Here is a 22954-nt window from a genome sequence, read left to right as displayed (position 1 = left end):
CTCCTTCTTTTAAATCCGAACTTATTCCACATAAGCATAAGCAACTGAATATCTCATTCTGTGTTCCGATGCATTCATGCCTGAGCACCGAGAACTTACTATAAATTAGTTTCTATTTCTCTTTTATATTAAAATTTTTAAATTACATTAATTTTAAGACTCATATGCAGGTAGTTTTCATTATCCATAAGTTTCATTTCAAGAGAGTAAAGGAGGTAATATAAAATATTTCTCTTAAAAAGAAGGTATTGGGTCTGAGACCTCCTAGAAATTATAACCCTCTTTATGGATCTGAAAGCCCATCAGTAGTGTCTGGCAATTATATTCTTTGTTATTATTGGCAGACTTTGTCAAAGTGGAAAAGAAATACTTTGTGCAATTTAAGAATATGCAAATTGCCAACTCTTATTTTTAGCTTTTGAAATAAAAGAATCTGAATTTTGTGATAAAGTCAAAAATATTTATTGACATATTTATTCAGCTCTATGCCTTTGTATTTTTAAATATGTGTTATAAATATGTGCGAGCTTTGATTTTTTTTAAATTCTGTAATAGACTCTGATCTTTTTTCCTAACTAGCTGGTAGCTAAAATTAGTGTCACAATCACAAAGAGAAAATATAAAACCTCCCACTCTAAATTCACTAAACAAAATGTTGAAATGAGTGTCTGCCATTCAAAGGTGGATTGAGGTCCTACTGCATTTGCTTCCCTTTGCAGGGTGTAGGATCCAGTGTATCTGGGAATCATAACTCATTAGAGGTCACAGAATACTTTGTATGGCTTGATGAAAACATGGAGACATTCCCTAGAAAAGGTACATCCGTGTGAACTTAAGGGAGACTTGTGAAGTAAAATCAGCAGATCTTTTTCTCCAGTTGGATGTGGCAGGGTAAGAGCTGATTCTGAAATAGCTCAAGTTTAACATATTGGGTAGATGTTAATCATGAGCCATATTGTGAGACTGCAGGATTGCAGTGTGAGTGTATGAAGATGGTGGATTGTTTGTTTAACCTTCACCTAATGGGAGGGCAGGGAATTAGGAGTCTGAAGGAATGGAAGGACAGGAGGAGATGAAAGAAGGAACAGGAGATCACGGTTTCCTCAGTCGAATATACGTGAGTTCCAAATGTGGCATGGTTCAGATGGCCAAGGTACTTCCAAAAGATTACCAACTCTAGCATTTGAATCTCCTGGTCCCCTGAGGAAAACAATTTTTTTTAATTTCCTCTGAGCCTCAAGTTGACCTCATTGAACTTTAGAAAGAATTTCTTCTTAAAAGCCACCAGCTTAGCCAAACATCCCCTGACCCACAGGATAAGGAACGACTCAATACTGTCCCACTGGTGAGGACATTCTCACCATCACTCAGCTTTTCTGAGTTCAATTACCTTCCTCCATGAGTCTACTCCCAATTCCCTTTTCTTCCCTTCAAATATGACCTAGACAGTGAGCCCTCTGCACACCAGACATCCACCTCAAGGCTCAGTCTCTTTTAAAACTTTTCAATTTAGAATTCCACAGTGGGATTCAGAGGGAAAGTCTCAGCTGAATACAATGTTCCTTTGCTTTACCATAATGTAGAAAAATATTGCCCCAAGAGCCTCTAGCCTTAGATGCTGATGGTTGAGGGAGAAATCAGATCATTCTGGGTCCCGGGACACATTTTATCTTCATCTCAACATTGCAGAGAGTAGACTTTGTTGCTGGTCTTTGTATTTTAGATGGACATCACAAATGTATTTTGTAACATTACTTTCTTATGTTATTTTTGCTTCTTCTCAATAGTCAATTGCTTCTCATCCAATTTCCTTGAACCCTTGGCCTTCTCAACTCATTTGTTTTATCCTTTATTTCCTAGAATCTTATTTCTTAAGTTTTATTTTCTTAAATTTTATTCAAAGTACCAAGACAATGCAGTCTAAGTTTTTCCTAAATAAATCACATTTCCAATTTATGTTCTCTCTCTACCTCTTGAGGGCCATATATTCCTACTTTTGTGTAAAATGATCTTTTCAGTGGCCCATATTATTTTTATGTTTACCCATCCCTAAATGATTCATGAGCTCTCCAAGTCTGGAATGTGTTTTCACAAACAGAATGAACTGCATTTGTTTTCTTTCTATCCCTCCATTTTCATTTGTATAAGATTAGAATCATTTTTTTTAATTTTTAGTTTTAATTTAGTTAGACACTATTTGCTTTGAAAAGCATAGAACCAGAGTTGCCAAGTAATTTCAGCAAGAAAATACACCACCATCAAAGTGTTATCTCTAAAAAATAAAATAAGTAATTTTAAAGTGCTATTTCTGCTCTTTCGGGCCTGAACCAAAAAGGTAAAGGTATGCGTGCCTCTTTTCCTCCCAAAACAGCTAGGAAAACCCATTACCATTACTGGCCTTTTTTTTTTTTTTTGGCCATTGATATACTTGTCCTCCAGACTCTGGGGCATGCCTGCCACACCAGGGAAGAAGGGCACCACCACATTTGGGAAACCCCATATCCGTGACAACAGTGAAAGCCCTGTGGTTGGACATGGCCCCTCACTCCCAGCCCACCCTGTCCAGCTGCCTTTAGGCTCTGCCTGCTTCTCCCCAGGTCCTGCCATGCACCGACCTGCCACTGGCTGAGCGCTTGGTCCCTAGATCCCCACTAGGAGTGACTTTCTGGCCAAGGCACTCTGAGCACCCCCACCCTCACCCCCTCATGCCTGCCCTCCCCAAACACTCTCTGAGAAACCAGGATATTTTCTGTGTAGACTGAAGCCCACTTTTGGGGAGCTGCTTGGTGGGCCTGGTGAGTTTTCATGCTAATTTCATCCTGGCTATTCCCTCACATGGCCTTTTACCTTTCACTTGGGAAACAAAGGCATCACATTTTTTCTCAAAAATGTACAGCTCCTTTTAAATATATATCCTAAGACTTCCCTTTCTGGATCTTCCTTAAAGAATAAGTGATTATTCTAATATTTATGCATATTAATTCAAACTGTTTTTAAAATTTATTGTGTTATCTTACAAAAGGCAAAATTCTTACCAGGAATCAAGTTGCTCAAGTACCATCCACACAAAAAATAAAGGCTTGAATCAAAAAGAATCATCCAGCAAACCCAGCCAAATGTCATGCCCCCTTGTTCCAGAGCCTGGTACATATTATTCCATTGAATCCCTAGCAGGAAGAAAAAGGTCAGAGTTAGAACTGCACAAGCTCTTTTATGGTAGATTTTGTCATGATGAGTTCATTACTTCTGGAAGCTCAAGTGAAGTTGAACAGAACTAAAACAAAAAGAAGGTCAATATCACTGGCCATAACTTTTCATGAAATGTTAACTTGTGCAATCTTACACCTATTTCAATGATATCAGGTGGGGGGATTGTTAACTACTTTTTAATATCTAATACTTTAAAAAGTTTTAAAGGTCACCTTACTCATATCTGGTTTTATTTACCTGAGTAGAAAGGACTTTATATTTAAGGAAAATAAGCATTCAAAAAAATTTTTTAAAGTCTCCTTGAGAACCCAAATTCTAAACTGTGTAACTCTCTGTGCTCTTGGAAAATATATAATAGGATATATAAGAACTAGGGTGGGAAATTATTATTATTTTTTTACAATAGGTTTGTGATTTATTTCTGGATTAACATACAACTTAAGAAAAATATTCCCCTTTCTAAATTTCCCTATGGTACCAGGCTACAGTTCAATAAAATATACATTTTAATCATTGTGTACTTGGAATTTAGACCAAAATATTCAAATGGTCTAACAGTTTCCATTTTTTGTTTCTATCATTTTGATTCAATTTATTCTAAAGATCAGTTAGAAGAAATCATTCAAGATTACTCATCTGTAAAAGAACATTTTAATACATCTTATTGAAAAACTCTAAGAACTCAAAGACCAGTACAAATTAACTGGCTAATACAACAATAGCTAGAGTCAAATTTTACTTATAGCATGGTTTTACCTCTGTTTACAAAAACACCCCCCCCCAAAAAAAACCATACAAATATCTATGAAATATATGTCTGTTCTGGTTTAGAATTTTAGTTGTCAAATTCTCAATATAAGCAAAAAATGCTGCCAATAGATTTTTAGAAAATCATTTTAGCCTGCATTGGTATGAGATAATTGCACTCTATTTTATGCTTATTAGACCTATTTCTGGATCTTGATCTTCAGGAACAATCTAGTAAATCTAGGAGTAAAGATGAGAGCCAACAAATATGTAGATGGTGGTCATGTGAAAGGGATAATTAGAAAGGAAGAACTAGAAAACATGGGTAGAGGATCCAGGAAGACAGATCCCAGGTCAACAATCATCTAACACAGTGGTCACTAACCTTTTTGGTACCAGGGACCAGTTTCGTGGAAGACAATTTTTCCACAGACCGGGGGATAGAGGATGGTTCCAGGATGATTCAAGTGCATTACATTTATTGTGCATTTTTTCCTATTATTATTACATTGTAATATATAATAAAATAATTATACAACTCACCATAATGTAGAATCACGGGGAGCCCTGAGCTTGTTTTCCTACAACTAGACAGTCCCACCTGGGGGTGATGCGAGACAGTGACAGATCATCAGGCATTAAATTCTCATAAGGAACATGCAGCCTAGATCTTTTGCATGCACAGTTCACATAACGTTCAGGCTCCTATGAGAATCTAATGGCCCCACTGACCTGACAGGAGGTGGAGCTCAGGCGATAACGTGAGCAATGGAGAGTGGCTGTAAATACAGACAAAGCTTCTCTCCCTTGCCTGCTGCTCACCTCCTGCTGTAAGGCTCAGTTCCCAACAGGCCACGGACTGCTCCATGGCCCAGGGGTTGGGGACCCCTGATCTAACAGATGGACACATTTGCACACCCTATCTTGGAAGGTTCAGAAGGTCACTCACCAGACCAGACGTCAAGGGTGGTATAAGGAAGACCCAAGCATTGGCTGGGTGGTTGACCTGGATAGTGTCTGAAGCAAGGGATGCCATGATTATTCTTGATTGTTCTCAAAACTGGTGCTACCAGATAGTGGGAGGTGTATACAACAGTGAAAGCAAATATCCAAACCTCATTCTGAATGCTCTACTTGATAATGAAGACTTCCTACTGGATCACTTGCAATATAACTATTAATTTCCAAAAACGTGATTCACTGAGAGTCACTTTTTACACATGCATGCTCTTACCTGTCTCTTGTCCTTCCAGGAATGTAATAAAAAATACCCCTTGTCCAAAGGCGGTTGTCGAAAGAAGGCACTGCCCACAGATTGATGGAGAAAAACTGCACGTTAGTGTTTTGATTGGGACCACAGAAAATCCACAACACTTAATTCAAGGAGCGAAGCCATGACAACTTTTCATTCTGATGACGCCCAACCATCGCTTCAGGCAGTCATTTAAATATTTTGATCTGAAAATCTTAGCGGAATGTCAGCCCACTCTGAAAAGCATGATAACAAGCTAGTTTTTAACGTTAAAAGGAATTATTTCTCTTTACCGAGATGCTTGAAGTGTCATAAATCCAATGTATCATACACAGAAATGTGTAACACAAAACAGTGAAAACTGGAATAGAGTAATTTACTATTTTTTATTATTAAGTGAATGCCCTGGAGCACACTGCAGGCTGACTGATGGAATGCATACACTATTCTACACTAGAAAGAAGGTGTATTGAAGAAAAATGTTATTGTATCTCAGTGGAGAAGTCTTATGTTAGAACGAAACCCCATTGAAAAAAATATCTTACATTAAAAAATACAGTGTACCAGAGTTAGATATTTTTTACTTGCTAGAAAGCATTTGAATATGTAAACAGAAAATCAAATTTTATGTGCACAGAACCCACGAATATAATGACTGAAGTAAAATTAAAAATAACACCATCTGAAAATCAGGTCAGATCATGGATGACTCTTTTTCTATGTACAAGGAGTATATGGGGAAGGACCACCAATGGTCCCACTTGTGTTAATTATTCTGAAAACAGCTAATTAACACTAACAGGAAGTTATTGGTTATGGGTTTTTACAAATGTAACATAAGCTAATCAAGACCAATGAACACATACCAATAGATAAAACACTGATGGAATATAACCACTTTTTCATTCTGTATGTATATCTTTGTTGTGAGCATATGGCTAGTAGAAACCAGACAGCTTTGAATCGTTTACTGAAGTTGAAGACAAATCACTTGGCTTTCATAGAAATATTTTACTCTAGGCCCTAAATGAGCAGAGAAGGTGTTTTGCTCCCAATAAGTGAGTGAAGCACTGGGGCCGTCATGAATCCTGTGCTGGACTAAAGGACTTTTAAGGGCCTTTAAATACCCCTGAGCAGCCCCGTAATCTAGGTCTCCTTGACACCTCCCCAAAGTCTCTGTTAATGACTCTGTCTTATCTCTCAACAGACTGCAATTTTAGGAAGTCACTTGACCTGCTGGAGAGAATAAAGTCTTGAGCACAGTGCAAGTGTTTATAGTGATGCCACTGGCTCTCTGAAACAGATCATTTTAATAGTGATGGTTCACCCTCGCTTTGATTGAGTTCCTACTATGTGTCAGGCACTGCGCTTGCCAGCAATTGCCATAAAAGAATGAATACTTTTTTATGTTCTACGTATTTGATGTTACAGACCTGAAAGTGTTATCATACGTTTTTAGGAGGTACATTTTAAATGGATGAGTGACTCTGACATTGCTAACAGAGAGATTTTTCCACTTAATGTGATGTAATTCATAATGTTTCAAGAAAAAATGCTTATTTTTTACTTCTAAAATTGCTTTAGAAATCTAGCTTTTTTCTGTGCATGAAAGAGAAAATAAAGTTATATGCTTCCTTAAGAATGTTGCTTATTTTCCAGAATCTGCAGAAAGTCTCTGTTATGTAAAAACTGGACATTCTTAATGGGCTGCTGTCCAGCAAAAACCCTGCAGTTTCAACGGTTTGCATTTGTGGGTAAGATTTTAAAAAGCAGATATCAGAAAGCCCATGTAGATATGAACATGACAAATTGAAAAAGTGAGAGTGGTGGGATTTTGTCTTGTTAGATAGATTGCAATTTTGTTGTTTTTTTTTTTTTTTTTTACAAAACAACTTACTTACCAGAAATGTCTGATTAACAAAACTTAATTGGTTATGTAGAACCAATAGAACTATGTAGGGCAGAAAGCTGATCATGTACACCAGGCTGGTACAAAGGGCCGCTGTATTAGCTTGGCTGAAAAATGCACTCAAGAGGTAGCTCAGCATGACGACTGACATCCCAAAATCCAAGAGAAAGAGGAAAACAATAAAGGTATTGCTGTGTGCAAAGATGCCACTTGTTTTCAGAACGATGGCCAGAGTAGCACTGCTTATGGTCAACACAGCCATGTTCTCCAGGAACCAGGCCAGGAAATGGATCACTGGATGCACTCCCATCATCCGCATATACTACCAAAAAGAGAAAAAACCCAAGGTTACCACAGCATGCGTACTTGAGGAAGAACAAATCAGATGGTAGGAGAAAGAAGGTGGACCAGTGGAAAGGTAAATCTGCTTGCTTGCAAATTCAGCCCTGTGAAGGGCCCTGGGAAGGACATTGCCTCCTCAAGCTTGGTATTTGATTTTCATGAGCACTTGTATCCTGGAACTTAAAATTAAATTAAATTTTTATAAAAGAGCCATTCATGACAAACCCGTCGCCAATATCATACTGAATGGACAAAAGCTGGAAGCATTCCCCTTAAAAACTGGCACAGGACAAGGATGCCCTCTCTCACCACTCCTATTCAACACTGTATTGGAAGTTCTGGCCAGGCCAAATAGACAAGAGAAAGAAATAAAGCGTATTCAAATAGAAAAAGAGGAAGTCAAACTGTCTCTTTTTGCAGATGACATGATCCTATATCTAGAAAACCCCATCGTCTCAGCCCAAAAGTTCCTAAAGCTAATAAGCAACTTCAGCCAAGTCTCAGGTTACAAAATCAATGTGCAAAAATCACAAGCATTCCTATACACCAACAGGAAACAAGCAGAGAGCCAAATCGTGAATGAACTCCCATTCACAATTGCCACAAAGAGAATAAAATGTCTAAGAATACAGCTAACAAGGGAAGTGAAGGATGAAGGACCTCTACAAGGAGAACTACAAACCACTGCTCAAGGAAATAAGAGAGGACACAAACAAATAGAAAAACATTCCATGGTCATGGATAGGAAGAATCAATATCATGAAAATGGCCACACTGCTCTAAGTAATTTATAGATTCAATGCTATTCCCATTAAACTACCATTGGCACTCTTCACAGAATTAGATAAATCTACTTTAAAATTCATATGGAACCAAAAAAAAGAGCCTGTATAGTCAAGACAATCCTAAGAGAAAGAAACAAAACTGGAGGCATCATGCTACCTGACTTCAAACTATACTACAAAGCTACAGTAACCAAAACAGCATGGTACTGGAGCAAAAACAGACACATAAACCAATGGAACAGAATAGAGATCTCAGAAATAAGACCACACATCTATAACCATCTGATCTTCGACAAACCTGACAAAAATAAGCAATGGGGAAAGGGTTCCCTATTTAATAAATGGTACCAGGAAAACTGGCTAGCCATATGCAGAAAATTGAAACTGGACTCCTTCCTTAAACCTTATATAAAACTTAACTCAAGATGGAGTAAAGACTTAAATGTACTTTTTTGTTTCAATTTCATTTAGTTATTCTCTCATCTTTGTTATTTCTTTTCTTCTGCTAGGTTTGGGTTTCTATTGTTCTTGTTTCTCCAGTTCCATGACGTGTGACCCTTGGTTGTCTATTTGTGCTCTTTCAAACTTTTTGATGTAGATATTTAACGTTGTGAACTTTCTTCTTAGCATCGCTTTTGCAATATCCCAAAGGTTTTGATAGGTTGTATCACTATTATCATTCAGTTCAGTTAGTTTCCACCTTGATTTCATTCTTGACCCAACAACCATTCAGGAGCATGTTATTTAATTTCCATGTATTTGCATGGTTTTGAGTGTTCTTTTTGTAGTTGATTTCCAATTTTATTTCACTATGGTCTGAGCCGTATATGGCAAACCCACAGCCAACATTATACTGAACAGGGAAAAGTTGAAAGCATTTCCTCTGAGAACTGGAACAAGATAAGGATGCCCACTTTCACCACTACTATTCAATGTAGTACTGGAAGTCCTAGTCAGAGCAATCAAACAAGATAAAGAAATGAAGGGCATCCAAATCAGTAAAGAGGAAATCAAACTGTTGCTGTTTGTTGATGATAATATCATATACCTAGAAAACCCTAAAGACTCATCCAAAAAGCTCCTAGAACTGATAAATAAATTCAGCAAAGTTTCAGGATACAAAATTCATGTACACAAATCAGTAGCTCTGCTATACACCAACAGTGACCAAGCTGAGAGTCAAATCAAGAACACAACCCCTTTCACAATAGCTACAAAAAATAAAATAAAATACTTAGGAATATACCTAAACAAGGAGGTGAACCACCTCTACAAGGAAAACTACAAAACACTGTTAAAAGAAATCACAGATGACGCAAACAAAGGAAACACATGCCATGCTCACGGATGGGTAGAATCAATATTGTGAAAATGACCATACTGCCAAAAGCAATCTGCAATTCAATGCAATTCCCATCAAAACACCACCATTACTCTTCACAGAACTAAAAAAAAAATCCTAAAATTCATATGGAACCAAAAAATAACCCACACAGTCAAAGCAAGACTAAGCAAAAAGAACAAATCTGGAGGCATCACATTATCCGACTTCAAACTATACTATAAGGACATAGTCACCAAAATAGCATGGTACTGGTATAAAAATAGGCACATAGACCAATCGAACAGAATAAAGAACCCAGAAATAAAACCAAATATTTACAGCCAACTGATCTTCAACAAAGCAAACAAAAACATAAAGTGGGGAAAGGACACCCTATTCAACAAATGATGTTGGGATAATTGGCAACCCACATGTTGAAGAATGAAACTGGATCCTCATCTCTCACCTTATACAAAAATCAACTCAAGGTGGATAAAAGACTTAAATCTAAGCCCTGAGACCATAACGAGTCTAGAAAAATAACATCAGAAAAACCCTTCTATACATTGGCTTAGGCAAATACTTCATGACCAAGAACCCAAAAGCAAATGCAACGAAAACAAAGATAAATATATTGGGACTTAATTAAACTAAATGGCTTCTGCACAGCAAAAGAAATAATCAGCAGAGTAAATGGACAACCCACAGAGCAGGAGAAAATCTTCACAATCTATATATCCAGCAAATGACTAATATCCAGAATCTACAAAGAACTGCAAGAAAAAAACAATTTCATCAAAAAGCGGGTGAAGGACGTGAACAGACAATTCTCAAAAGAAGATAGACAAATGGTCAACAAACATATGGAAAAATACTCATCGTCACTAATTATCAGGGAAGTGCAAATCAAAACCACAATGTAATACCACTCTACTCCTGCAAGAATGGCCATAATCAAAAAAATCAAAAAATAATCGATGTTGGCATGGATGCGGTGAAAAAGGAACACTGTTACACTGTTGGTGGGAATGTAAATTAGTACAACCACTATGGAAAACAGTGTGGAGATTCCTTAAAGAACTAAAAGTAGATCTACCATTTGAACCAGCAATCCCACTCCTGAAGTCATTACATGAAAAAGATAGTTGCACACATATGTTTATAGCAGCACAATTCGCAATTACAAAAATATGGAACCAACCCAGATGCCCATCAATCAATGAGTGAATAAAGAAAATGTCTGTGTGTGTGTGTGTGTGTGTATATGTATATGTGTGTATATATATATATAAATGTATATATATAAATGTGTGTGTGTATGTGTATATATATATATATATATATATATATACACATACACACACACACACCATGGGATATACTCATCCATAAAAAGGAATGAAATAATAGCATTCAGAGCAACCTGGATGGAATTAGAGACTATTATTCTAAGCGAAGTAACTCAGGAATGCAAAACCAAACATCATATGTTCTCACTCACGTGTGGGAGCTAAGCTATGAGACACAAAGGTATAAGAATGATTCTTTGGACTTTGGGGACTCAGAGTAAAGGGTTGGGGATGGTGATTGATAAAAGACTATACACTGGGTACAGGGTACACTGCTCGGGTGATGGGTGCACCAAAATCTCAGAAATCGCTACCGAAGAACTTATTCATGTAACCAAACACCACCTGTTCCCCAAAAAACCTATGGAAATAAAAAAATTTAAGTTATGATAGTTTCAAGTTTTATAACAGTATTACAAAAAAAATAGCAGGGTCTCTACATAAAAAATTCTAAGCATAAATTAAGATGGGAAGTCTGCTGCTATGTTTTTCTGGGTTTTAAAAAAGTTGCTGAATGAGGAACACTGGCTTTGTTCTTGCAATCTCATGTGGCTATTCTTTGGCTTTCTTTCATGTCAGTGGAAAATATCTGGCATTGCTTCAGACTTCAACATAAAATCTTCTTTCTGGAACAGGGACTCAGCTATTTTGTACACCAGAACCCCAGCAGAGGAGAGGGAAGCAAAACAGAGAGGCTCAGGTTGGTTATGGGACAAGATCCATTTCCAAAGTCCCCAGCCTCCCTATCTTTGTCTCCCAGGCAAGGTTTAAGGATATTTACCTCTTCTATCTGTATCTCCTGCTCATACACCAACTTTCTGACCATGCTGGCCACAGACACCATCCACGTCAGCATCATTATCAGTGGAAAAAAGAAACCAACGTTGTTCAGGAATCTGTAAGGGGATAATTCAGTCAGCATCCGGAGACAAGCAAAATGACTCTACTAATTTTTTACATTTTTCTTCCAAGTTAGAAAGCTCTTTCAGGAGTGATATCTCCTTTGGTCATTTCTACATGCCTGTGACTTAGGTAGGAGGGCCATGATTGGTGTGCTGATTTTGTAGGTATGCAAATTCATGAAGGAACCCATGAAGGAGACACAACTGGTTCGAGATCTCTCAGAGAGCCATAGCCCAACCACAATACTCTCTGACACCTGCCATAGGCAGAGCAGGTTGGAGCAAAGCAGGTCATTAATCCATGCCTGCCATTTCCCCCATTTAATTGGGACCATTATCTATCTTCAATTATTGATATTAATTGATCACAGATTATCATCTACAAAATACGTGAAAATTGGCAAATGAAAGTCTTCCTTTCTATTTTCCTAACACTCATATTTCAACCCACTCTAACTGGGCTCCATTTCTAATATACACTTGAAATGACTCTTATCTAGGGCATCAATGACAGTCATGCCTCAAAATCCAATGAGAATTATCCAGTCATTTTCCTTCTTGAGTTCTCAGACATGTTGGATGGCATTGGTCATTCCCTCCTCCTCTCTTTTCTCTTAGCTTCCAGAACAACTCCCAGCTTTGCACCCACATCTTGGCAACTTCTCCTTTACCTGCCTTTAAATGTAGGCATTCCTACCTCAAGCTGGACCCTCTGTCTTCTCACCACATACTCTCTGAGCTCTAAATCCACATAATAATTATTTATTCAACATTGAGACCAACTGAAGGTACAAGCCGTGTTACTGGGCTGGTGATACATGAATGAGCCAAACAGAAAAAGGTCCTGCCATTAAGGATCTTTCATTCCAGTGTGTCGGCAAGGTGGGAGGGGACATAAAATAATCCAATAAACACAGAGATTGCTATGTTCTGTCTCTGCCAAAACTCATGTTGACATTTAATTGCCCATGTGATGGTATTGAGAGGTGATGCAGCCTTTAAGAGGTGTTTGGGTTATGGGGTCTCCACACTCATGAATGGATTAATGCAGTTCTCATGAGACAAGTTGAGTTTCCAGGATACTGGATTGATAGATTCCAGGTACTTGAGATAGCTGGCTGTTATGAAGCAGGGTTGCCTCTCATGTATGGAGCGCACACCCTCTTCCCCTTACACTTTCCGCCATGAGTTGAAGTGGCATGACACCCTCAGCAGAAGCTGACCAGAAAGGCTGCCTGATCTTGGACTTCCTGCCAGAATTATGAGCCAAATAAATTTCTCTTCTTCACAGACTACCCAGTCTCGGGTATTCTGTGATAGCAGCACAGAAAGGACTAAAACAGAGATGCATAATATCAGGTAGTGATAAATGCTATGAGTAAAAAAGAACTAGCTTAACCAAAAGTGAGAAGGAATGCTATTTCAGACAGGGTGATTAGCTGAGCTGACAGCGGGAAAAAAATACTCAAGCAGAAAGCGGATGAAGTAAGGAAATGAGTCACACAGGTATCTAAAGGAAGACTGCTCCAGGCAAAGGAAAAAAAAGGGCAAGGACCAGAGGTTGGAGCAAGCAGAACACGGGTCACAGTGAAGCCATCAGGTCCTGGGCTTTTCTTTGATGAAAGACTTTATATTAGAGCAGAAATAAATAAAATGGAGACTAAAGCTTTGATTACTATGGTTTTGTATTATATTTTGAAGACAAGTAGTGTGATGCCTCCAGCTTCATTTTTTTTCCTCAAGATAGCTTTGGTTATTCTGGGTCTTTTGTGGTTCCATATAAGTTTTAGGATTTTTTTCTATTTCTGTGAGGAATGTCATTGGTATTTTAATAAGGATTGTATTGGATCTGCAGATTGTTTTGGGTAATGTAGACATTTTAACAATTTTTTTAATCAATAAGCATAGGATATCTTTTCATTTTTTATGTCCTCTTTAACTTCTCACATCACATCAACATTTCATAGTTTTCTTTGTAGATATCTTTCACTTCTTTGGTTAAAAACAGACACATAAACCAATGAAACAGAATAAAGAACACAAATATAAACCCACACATTTGTAGCCAACACATTTTCAACAAAGGCTCCAAGTTCATACATTGGGAAAAGGACTATCTCTTCAATAAATGATGCTGGAAAAACTGAATAACCATATGCAGAAGAATGAAACTAGAGCCTTATCTCTTGCCATATACAAACATCAACTCTAAATAGATTAAAGACTTAAATGTAAAGCTCAAAACAATAAAACTACAAGAAGAAAATATCAGAGAACTGCTTCAGGACACTGATTCTGGACAAAGACTTTTTGTGTAAGACCTCAAAAGCACAGACAACAAAAGCAAAAATAGACAAATGATGTTACATCAAGCTAAAAAGCTTCTGCAAACAAAGGAAACAATCAGCAAAGTGTAAAGACAACCTACAGAATGGGAGAAAATATTTGCAAAGTATCCATCTGACAAGGGACTAATAGCCTGAATATACAAGAAACTCAAACAAATACAATAGCAAGAAACCCACATAATCCAATTAAAACATAGGCAAAAGATCTGACTCAATATTTCTCAAAAATAAACGACCACAAATGGCCAACAGTTATACAAATATATGCTGAACATCATGAATCATCAAAAAAATGCAAATCAAACCCACAGTGAGATATCATCTTACCCCAATTGAAATAGCTACTATCAAAAAGAGAGAAAATAACAGACGCTGGCAGGGATTTGGAGAAAAGGGAAAACCCACACTCTGTTAGGTGGGAATGTAAATTAGTAGAGACACTGTGGAGAACAGTATGGAGTTTCCTCAAATAACTAAAAAATATAACTACAATATGACCCAGCAATTCCAATGCAGAGTGTATATCTAAAATAAAGAAAATCAGTATATCGAAGAGATATGTGCACTCCCATGTTTATTGCAGACTTATTCACAATAGCTAAGATATGGAATCAACCTAAGTGTTCATCAATGGATGAAAAGATAAAGAAATGTGGCATATATACAAAATGGAATATTATTTAGCAATTACAAAGAAAAAATCCTGTTATTTGAAGCAACACGGATGGAACTGGAGGACATTATATTAAGTGAAATAAGCCAGACACAGAAAGACAAATATATGTTCTAACTCATACGTGGGAGCTAAAAATAAAATGAACTCATTGAGGTAGAAAGTAGAGTAGTGAGTTACCCAGATGCTGGGAAGGGTAAAGGGGAGGGGAAGATAATTAGAGGTTGTTTAGTGTGTACAAATGGAGGGAAGGGATAAGTTCTAGTGTGCAATAGCACACTAAGGGAACTGTACTTAACAATAACTTGTATATTTCAAAATAGCTAGAAGACAGGCTTTGTAATATTCCTAACACAAAGAGATGATTGTTGAAGTGATGGCTATCTCAATTACCCTGATTTGATTATCACACATTGTACACATGTATCCAATTATCACAAGTAACTCATGAATATGAACAACTACTGTGTATCAATAAAAAAGCAAAAAAAAGTTACATTGACTAGCGTGAGAAGCCTTCTCCTAGACCCTATTTCCAGGGAAACAGAAGACGGAGGCTATGTGAGAAATCCATATGTTTTCAGGAAGCACTCTATCTTTGTGGCAATGGAAAAGTAAGCTTTTGAGCTGTAAGGTCATTAATGGCACCTGGTCCTCACCACCACCAGGACCCTCTTGCAGATACCTGGACAGGAATATCCAATTCATTCCAGATGAGTAACAATCACGGTAACAAAAATTTAGCACAACATTTGGGCAAGAAATAAAAAGAGATTGAGAGTTGCATAATTATTAACAAGTGAAAAACCCATGCGAAAAAGTTGGTCTCATTGAACAGATGATAATAGTGAACATACTTTTTGTCAACAATTTAAATATATTTAAACAATTTAAACAAGGCAAGCCCCTCTATAAGAAACACCACACAGCACAATCATTAGAATTGAGTTAATGAGATGGTAAAGTAGCAGAAAGATATAAAATGGGAATTGGAAGAACTTAGAAAAAATATGTGAAAAAAACTAGCCATCAGACAAAGGAGAATAAAATTGGAAGAAACACAGGCCAAATTGATACTGCACAAAATACAGTAAGGGATGTAGAAAATAGGTGCAAGAAATGCAACTAAAGGAAACAGGAATAGAGTTTTTTAAAATGTAAAAATCTATTGATTAGAAACACAGGGAAAAGAAACGCAGGCAATTAAACTCCCTGAAAAAGAAAAACTAAGTATTTCTAAATTTGCAAAGCTAGAATACATCAAGAGTCTCCATTAAAAAAAATTAAAATCTACACATCCAAAGGACTTGTCTTGTCATCATAGAAAATTGTCCTAGAATGTTCAACAATGAAACATACTCTTATAAAATTTATTGCGTTTTCAAGCTACTGGCAGCTTGCCAAAATTACCAAGTTATATAAAAGGGAGAAAATAACAATGTGGCCCCAGATTTCTCCATAATAACATTTAAGACCAAAGACAATTTTTACAGGATACTTAAGGAAGGAATGAACCAAGGGTTTTCTATTCAGCCAAGATGTCCTTCAAATATAAATGCTACAAAGAGTTTTACGTATGTAGGAATTCAGGTTATATTATCTTATGAGAGCTTCTTAAGGAAATTACTAGATGGCAAACTTCATCCCGCCAAATGATGACTGGTAAATTACAGTGAAAGGGCTGATGGTAAGCAATGAGTACATTTTCCTGTAAAAGCAAGACTAAAACAAAAACAGGAATTAAGGTTACAAGACAGATTGGAAATGCTACTATTCCCTGAAATGCAGAAATGATATGAAAAACAAATGGAAGGATAATGGGGAATGAGTTAGAGACGAAGAAAAAGTTGGTGCATGCCAAACTCAAATACTATTTTTTAAAATATTGGCAAATGTAGAATATTAGTATAAGTGTCTTTAACAGTACAAAAGGCAACATTAAGTAAGATTAACAATACCAGCTAAAATTGCATGATGGACAAGAGAAAATATATGATGAAATAAGAGAACATATTTTAAGTTTTTATTGCTTGTGATAAAAAAACAAGGGTTTATATTACTTATATAATGTTATAATTATAAGGTAACCACTACAATAATAATAAAACATTATTAAATATTAGCTTAAAAGAAAAATTATAAGCATAAGAAACACAAGATAGAGGCAAGACTATATATAATTTATAATTGCATTTTATACTATCAAAGAATTAAGGCCACATATATAAGAAGCTATATAATGCATACAAGAGACACACTTGAAACAAAATGCTTCAGAAAAAATTTAAATGAAAGGATGGGCAAAGTCATATCAAGCAAATAGAAACACCAAAAGGCAAAAAAAAAAAAAAAAAAAAGAAGAAGAGGAAGAGTGAAGAGAAGGGAAAAAAAGCAGAGTTCACCATTTCAATATCAAACAAGGTAGAGTTATGTCCACAAAGCATTAAAAGACACAATTATTCATAGTAATGCACACAGTAACAAAGCACAAATATCCAAAAGCCAAACTCCACAGGAAAAAGAGAGAAGGACAACCAAGTAATAAGGGAGTATAATTTACCTATCCCAGTCTAAGACAGATCAAGACGACATAAATTAAGGATAGAAAAATCCTACATAACAAAAATAACACAGACCAAATTCTCTGCCCTAAAATAGGGAATTAGAAATTCTTTTCAAGTGTCTACAAATCATTCACAAAAGTGGGTTATATATTACTTGATACCAAAACAGAAATAATAAGAATCATATTTTGACTGCAATTCAGAAATTAAGATTTAGCAACAGAACTTGGCAATTTAGTATATAATGCAATTTTTGTATTTTGTCCCTCTGATATGTAAAAACATACTATTACAAAGCAGATTTAATTTGTATGTTTCTTATTACAAGTAAGCTGTGTAAACATAGTTTTTCATATATTTAAAATTCTTGAGAATTTTCACCTGGAAATTAAAAGAAGCTTTATTTAAACAGCTCTTGGGTCAAAGAGAAAATAGAAACCTGTACTGCATGCATCTAGAAAACAATAAATTGTTAGCTACATATGAGATCTATGGGATATAAGGTAGGAGTTGAAAGAACAGTCATTACCTTATGTTAAATATATTACCTACATAATATATTTAACTACAAATATTTAAGAAAAAAACTAAAAATAATGAATTAAACTTTAGTCTCAAATTATAAAAGAATATATTGAAGATACAGAAAAGTAAGGAAGTAATAAAAATAAAAGCAGAAAAAGTTAGATGAGACAAAAGAGAGAATTGATGAAGTCCAAATAGGGTTCTTTGAGAAAACAGAAGTCAAATAAGAAAAGAATGAAATAACTTGCACATCATGAATTTTTAAAATAAGGAAAAAGCATGTTAAAAGAGGAGTAACCACACCGAGAGAGGAATGAAGGAGGATGAGTAGGGAGAAAGGGAGAGAAGAAAATTGTTTCATTTTTTGACTTTAATTTCTCTCTTCTAGGATCTTAATAATTGGAAGTGGTTCATATTTAAAGTTGAAGCATTATGTATTATGTATCACCAACAACAACTGCACTGAGTACCAAGTTTTAAAGAGGTGCTGTGATTCTCGTCCCTTGCAGTCTCCACTAGAGCGGGGTCACAGCAGAGCAGATTTAAGTCATTCGTAGTTTTCTTGTCTTTTTTTTTTTTTTCCAAACAGGGTCTCACTCTGTTGCCCAGGCTGGAGTACAGTGGCATGATCTGGGCTCACTGTAGCCTCAGCCTCCTGGGCTCAAGCAATTCTCCCCTCTCACCCTCCCAATTAGCTGGGACTACAGAACACACCACAACGCCCAGCTAATTTTGTTTATTTTCTGTAGAGATGGGGTCTTGCTATGCTGTCCAGGCTGGTTGTCTCATCTTAATACGGTCATAACAATCCCTGCTCTCCAAGCTTCCTCAAGGCAGGACTACATCTTTCCCTACTACATATGTCATGCGATTACAGTGCATGACACATAATAAGTACTGCGTAAATAGTTCCCAAATGAGTATGTAGCACAAAAACTTTCAGGCTAACTCTTGGCAAGACTTTGCGATTTCTAGTTTGTAAAACATGAATCACAACGACAAAGAATGAGGGACTCATCCCAAAAGAAAACATAAATAAACAAATAAGTGTCTATTTGGAACAGGATATTAAGTGTGAATTATTTTCTCTATTTTCTTCACTCTTGAATATCACTTGTTTATAGAACTAAAAATAAAAAACATACACACAAAGGTCAGGGATGTCTCAGTAACCTCAGAAATAGGATTTTCCTCTTATCAGGAGAGCATGAATCAAACTAAGAATCGAGAATATTCTCTGTATGTTTCCCCTTCTCTGGAACCCAAATCAAAGAACTATCTATAAATTATACCATTAGGAAATTAAACTCTCTCATGTCCTTTGTAGGGACATGGATGAAGCTGGAAACCATCATTCTGAGCAAACTATCACACGGACAGAAAACCAAACACTCCATGTCCTCACTCATAGGTGGGAACTGAACAATGAGAACACTTGGACACAGAGTGGGGACATCACACACCGGGGCCTGTCATGGGGTGGGGGAGGGGGGAGGGATAGCATTAGGAGATATACCTAATGTAAATGACGAGTTAATGGGTGCAGCACACCAACATGGCACATGTATACATATGTAACAAACCTGCACGTTGTGCACATGTACCCTGGAACCTAAAGTATAATAAAAAATAAAATAAAATAAAAGTAAAAACAAAAAAGGAAATTAAACTCTCTTACTTCTTTAAGCCTTTCTAAAGGGATACTCTGATCTTCACAAACACTAATTGTCACCATTGCTTTTTCTGCAGGTGGACTTTTTGGTTTCCATTTTAGTAAGCCTTGCTCCTGGTATTTGATCTGTTACTTGCCTCTGTCAGCACTATCAGTGAGTGCAATGACAGAAAAGTCATGGGCGTGTTGGACCAAAGTCTTACTATAGAAAGAACCACCCTGAGAAATCAGCTGGTTTTTGTTGCTGTTGTTGTCTGTTTTTTGTTTTGTTTTCTCAGGATGTAGGACTTTGAGGCAAGTGCAGGGAGGAGGCAAATTTCCAGCCACCACCTCTCACATCAGCCCGGCCTCTGCCCTTCCCTGCTTCTGCCCCTCTCCACCGGCCTCCATCACCACTACTGCCCAGGACCAGTCCACATCAACCATGGGGAGACAGGACATAGCTGGGGGCAACTGCTGAAGAGAAGGACCAGTGCATTTGGCCTCCACTTTCTCTCTCTCCCTTTATCCTCCCTTTCCTTTTCATGGAACCAGAGGCACACTCATGTTGCCCCTGTCACTTGCTAGCTCTGTCTCCGCTGCCTTCCGCACAACACAGCCAGCTGAAGTCTGACGTGATTTGTGAATTGGAGGTGAGTGGAGGTCAGGGAAGGTGAAGTAAGGGGCATTTAAGACTCTAGTGTTCCTGACTCAGCCATTGCCAGAGTCATGCAGATTGACCTTCTGCATCAGTAGGTGGAGGAACTTTCTCAGATTTGAAGCTGCCCAAGAATGGAGTGGGCTGCCACTCAGAGCATCCCACCCATTCACAGTGCCTGGCGTTGCCCCTCACAAGTCTCAAGGTCTCCTCAAGCAGGATAATTCACTGCGCACTACAAGCCAATGCACTGGGCAGACAGCAGTTAATACCCCGTATGAGCTGAGGAGACCGACACCCAAAGCTGGCGCAAAACTGGCCCAAGGTCCTGCGAACCAGCAAGTGTCAAAGCTGGCACCCAAATGCAGTTTTTTCATCCCAGTTCTGTCATCATGTCAAGTCTGAGACTCTAAAGGGATCCAGGAAGCTCGAAAGAGATCGGATAAACTTAGAAGGTGAGATGCACTGTCAAGATCCAATATGTCTAAAGAAGGAGACTTTGAGACCTTAATTCAGACTCTCAGGTCATACAGATTCTACCAAGAAATTCTCCTATATTTTACTAGGTAGAGGAAGGCATGAAATCAATTGTGAGCAACCCAGTGCTGCCACTTTTACAGTATCTGTATCTCCCTTTTCGCCCCTTATTAGTTATGAATGTACACTAACTACTGCATTAAGCAGTGAGTTTCTAGACCTCAAGAACTGCATAGTGCTGATCTCTGCATCCATCCCAGCATAGAATGTGTGTCATACAGTGAATATGAAAACAAAATGTTTCTACATAGATGAATAGAGGAATAACTATATGAGTGAATGATGAAGGCCCTTGAAATAATTTACCAGAGGCAGAGCAAACAGTGGATCTAAATGAGGGTGTTTTGGAATTTGGCTAGGACTATTCTTCATTGCACACTACAGTGTCATTTATCACACAACAATTGTCACCACTGGCCCTTAGGCACTAAACATACACTGGTCCCCACTGTTACCATCAAAACACCCCATACACTTCCAAACTCCCACCAACCAAGGTTAAGAACTACTGCTCAAATCTGAGCTCTGGCTAGGATATAAGAAAACATGCCAGGCAGGCATTGTCCCCTCCCCTCCCCTCCCCTCCCCTCCCCTCCCCTCCCCTCCCCTTCCTTTCCTTTTTCCTTTCCTTTCCTGTCCTGTCCTGTCCTGTCCTGTCCTGTCCTTTCTTTTTTTTCTTTTCTTTTCTTTGAGACGGAGTTTGCTCTTGTCACCCAGGCTGGAGTGCAATGGTGCAATCTCAGCTCACTACAACCTTTGCCTCCTGGGTTCAAGCAATTCTCCTGCCTCAGCCTCCCGAGTAGCTGGGATTACAGACGCGTGCCACCATGCCCAGCTAATTTTTGTATTTTGAGTAGAAACCGGGTTTCACCATGTTGGCCAGGCTGGTCTCGAATTCCTGACCTTGTGATCTGCCCGCCTCGGCCTCCCAAAGTGCTGGAATTACAGGTGTGAGCCACCACACCCGGCCGAAAACATACCAGACTTTCAAATACAATGGAGTGAAATGGCAGCCAAGTGACCAAGCATCCTGCACAAAGTGCTTAAAAGTAGCAAGTGGCAATTAATAGTTTATTTGGGGAGTGAGGGGTATTAAGATGCTGTGAGATCTTGGGGGAAATAACTTACCCTATCAGCGTCTCAATTTCTTCCACTGTACTTTTAAGGTTTTTAGAGAATAAGTGAGATGATTTTTTTAAATGTGATACAATTTTAAGAGATTACTTTGCTGCTGTTGAGGGAAAGAACATAGACAAATTGGAGAAACGATTTGCTGAGGTTTTAATGAGAAACCATCCTCCTCTGCCCAGCAAGGAGATAAGTTTGTAAGAGCTGTGTGGGGCTTGAGAAAGTGAAGAATTGTAAAATTTAATGAGGGTTTTTCTTCTCCTTCCCACTACAGTTGGTATCACCAACAAATTACCTGCGTTGGTGGGACAGGACAGAGCCTGCGGGCAACAGAGGGGGCTTCCAGCAGCTCTGAGCGCTGAGGGTCATCAAGAATGGGAATTTCTGCTGAGAACAATGACTATTGACTAAATGGAAGAGAGAGGTGTTTAATAAAGTTACCTGAAGTAGAGCCCAAGGAAGAGAAACAATCAAAATAAATAAAATGAGAGGTCCTCTCACTGGTCTGTTGTGGATCAAGCTGATTTTTTTTTAAGCAGGAATTCAACATTTCAAGCATGAGTGGCTGTCAACCCTTCACTCTCCACTTTGCCCAAGACACATCAAAGTCCAGATGCAACGCCTCACGGGAGCCATCACTCAGCCTGACCCAGCACGCTCCATTTCTCCTTCTCTTGAACCCACCCCAGGGTGGTGGGAATTGAAGCAGCCAAAAAGCAATAGAGGAAATAACAGGTGACCTTTCAAATAAATATTCTTTGTGCATATAAAACAATCCCAGGATATTGTTGTGGTTTTTGTTTTCTGAAAACCTGTTTATTAAGTTGGCTTATTCTTTGAAGCAACACATTAACATTTGAATTCCTTTATATTCATGAAGTACACACTACAGTTCCAATCATAAAATTATTCTATGATAACTGCCTATGAATCAGGGGGTTGATAGGAACATGCAATTTCAAAAACTGCTGCTGCCTATCCATCTCTACAGTCTCCAGCAACATTTTCCAATGCATGCCTTTCAGGACATTAGTTCCATGAGCTGCTGGT

At 37.8% G+C, this 22954-nt stretch overlaps 1 protein-coding gene across 26 annotated transcripts in view; it reads right to left on the bottom strand.

Moving 5' to 3' along the window:
* The window catches only part of ABCA13 (ATP binding cassette subfamily A member 13), a 476040-nt gene that overhangs the window by 267890 nt on the left and 185196 nt on the right, over nucleotides 1-22954 (bottom strand). For 25 of the 26 annotated variants that reach the window (XR_926914.3, XR_926915.3, XR_926919.3 and 22 more), the window contains 4 exons: nucleotides 11700-11814; nucleotides 7111-7440; nucleotides 5192-5261; nucleotides 3036-3167 (listed from right to left, as the gene is read on the bottom strand). Coding sequence is in view for 23 of the 26 variants with exons in the window: in XM_011515130.3 (XP_011513432.1) it covers nucleotides 3036-3167; nucleotides 5192-5261; nucleotides 7111-7440; nucleotides 11700-11814 (647 nt within the window). In the remaining 3 variants the exon portion in view is untranslated. Of the gene's footprint in view, nucleotides 1-3035; nucleotides 3168-5191; nucleotides 5446-7110; nucleotides 7441-11699; nucleotides 11815-22954 lie in introns of those variants that run through there. The other variant, XM_011515146.3, reaches the window with a different exon arrangement.

The sequence above is a fragment of the Homo sapiens genome, chromosome 7 (assembly GCF_000001405.40).
Source record: "Homo sapiens chromosome 7, GRCh38.p14 Primary Assembly".
Classification (NCBI taxonomy): domain Eukaryota; kingdom Metazoa; phylum Chordata; class Mammalia; order Primates; family Hominidae; genus Homo; species Homo sapiens.
This window is presented reverse-complemented; position numbering and strand designations above follow the sequence as displayed.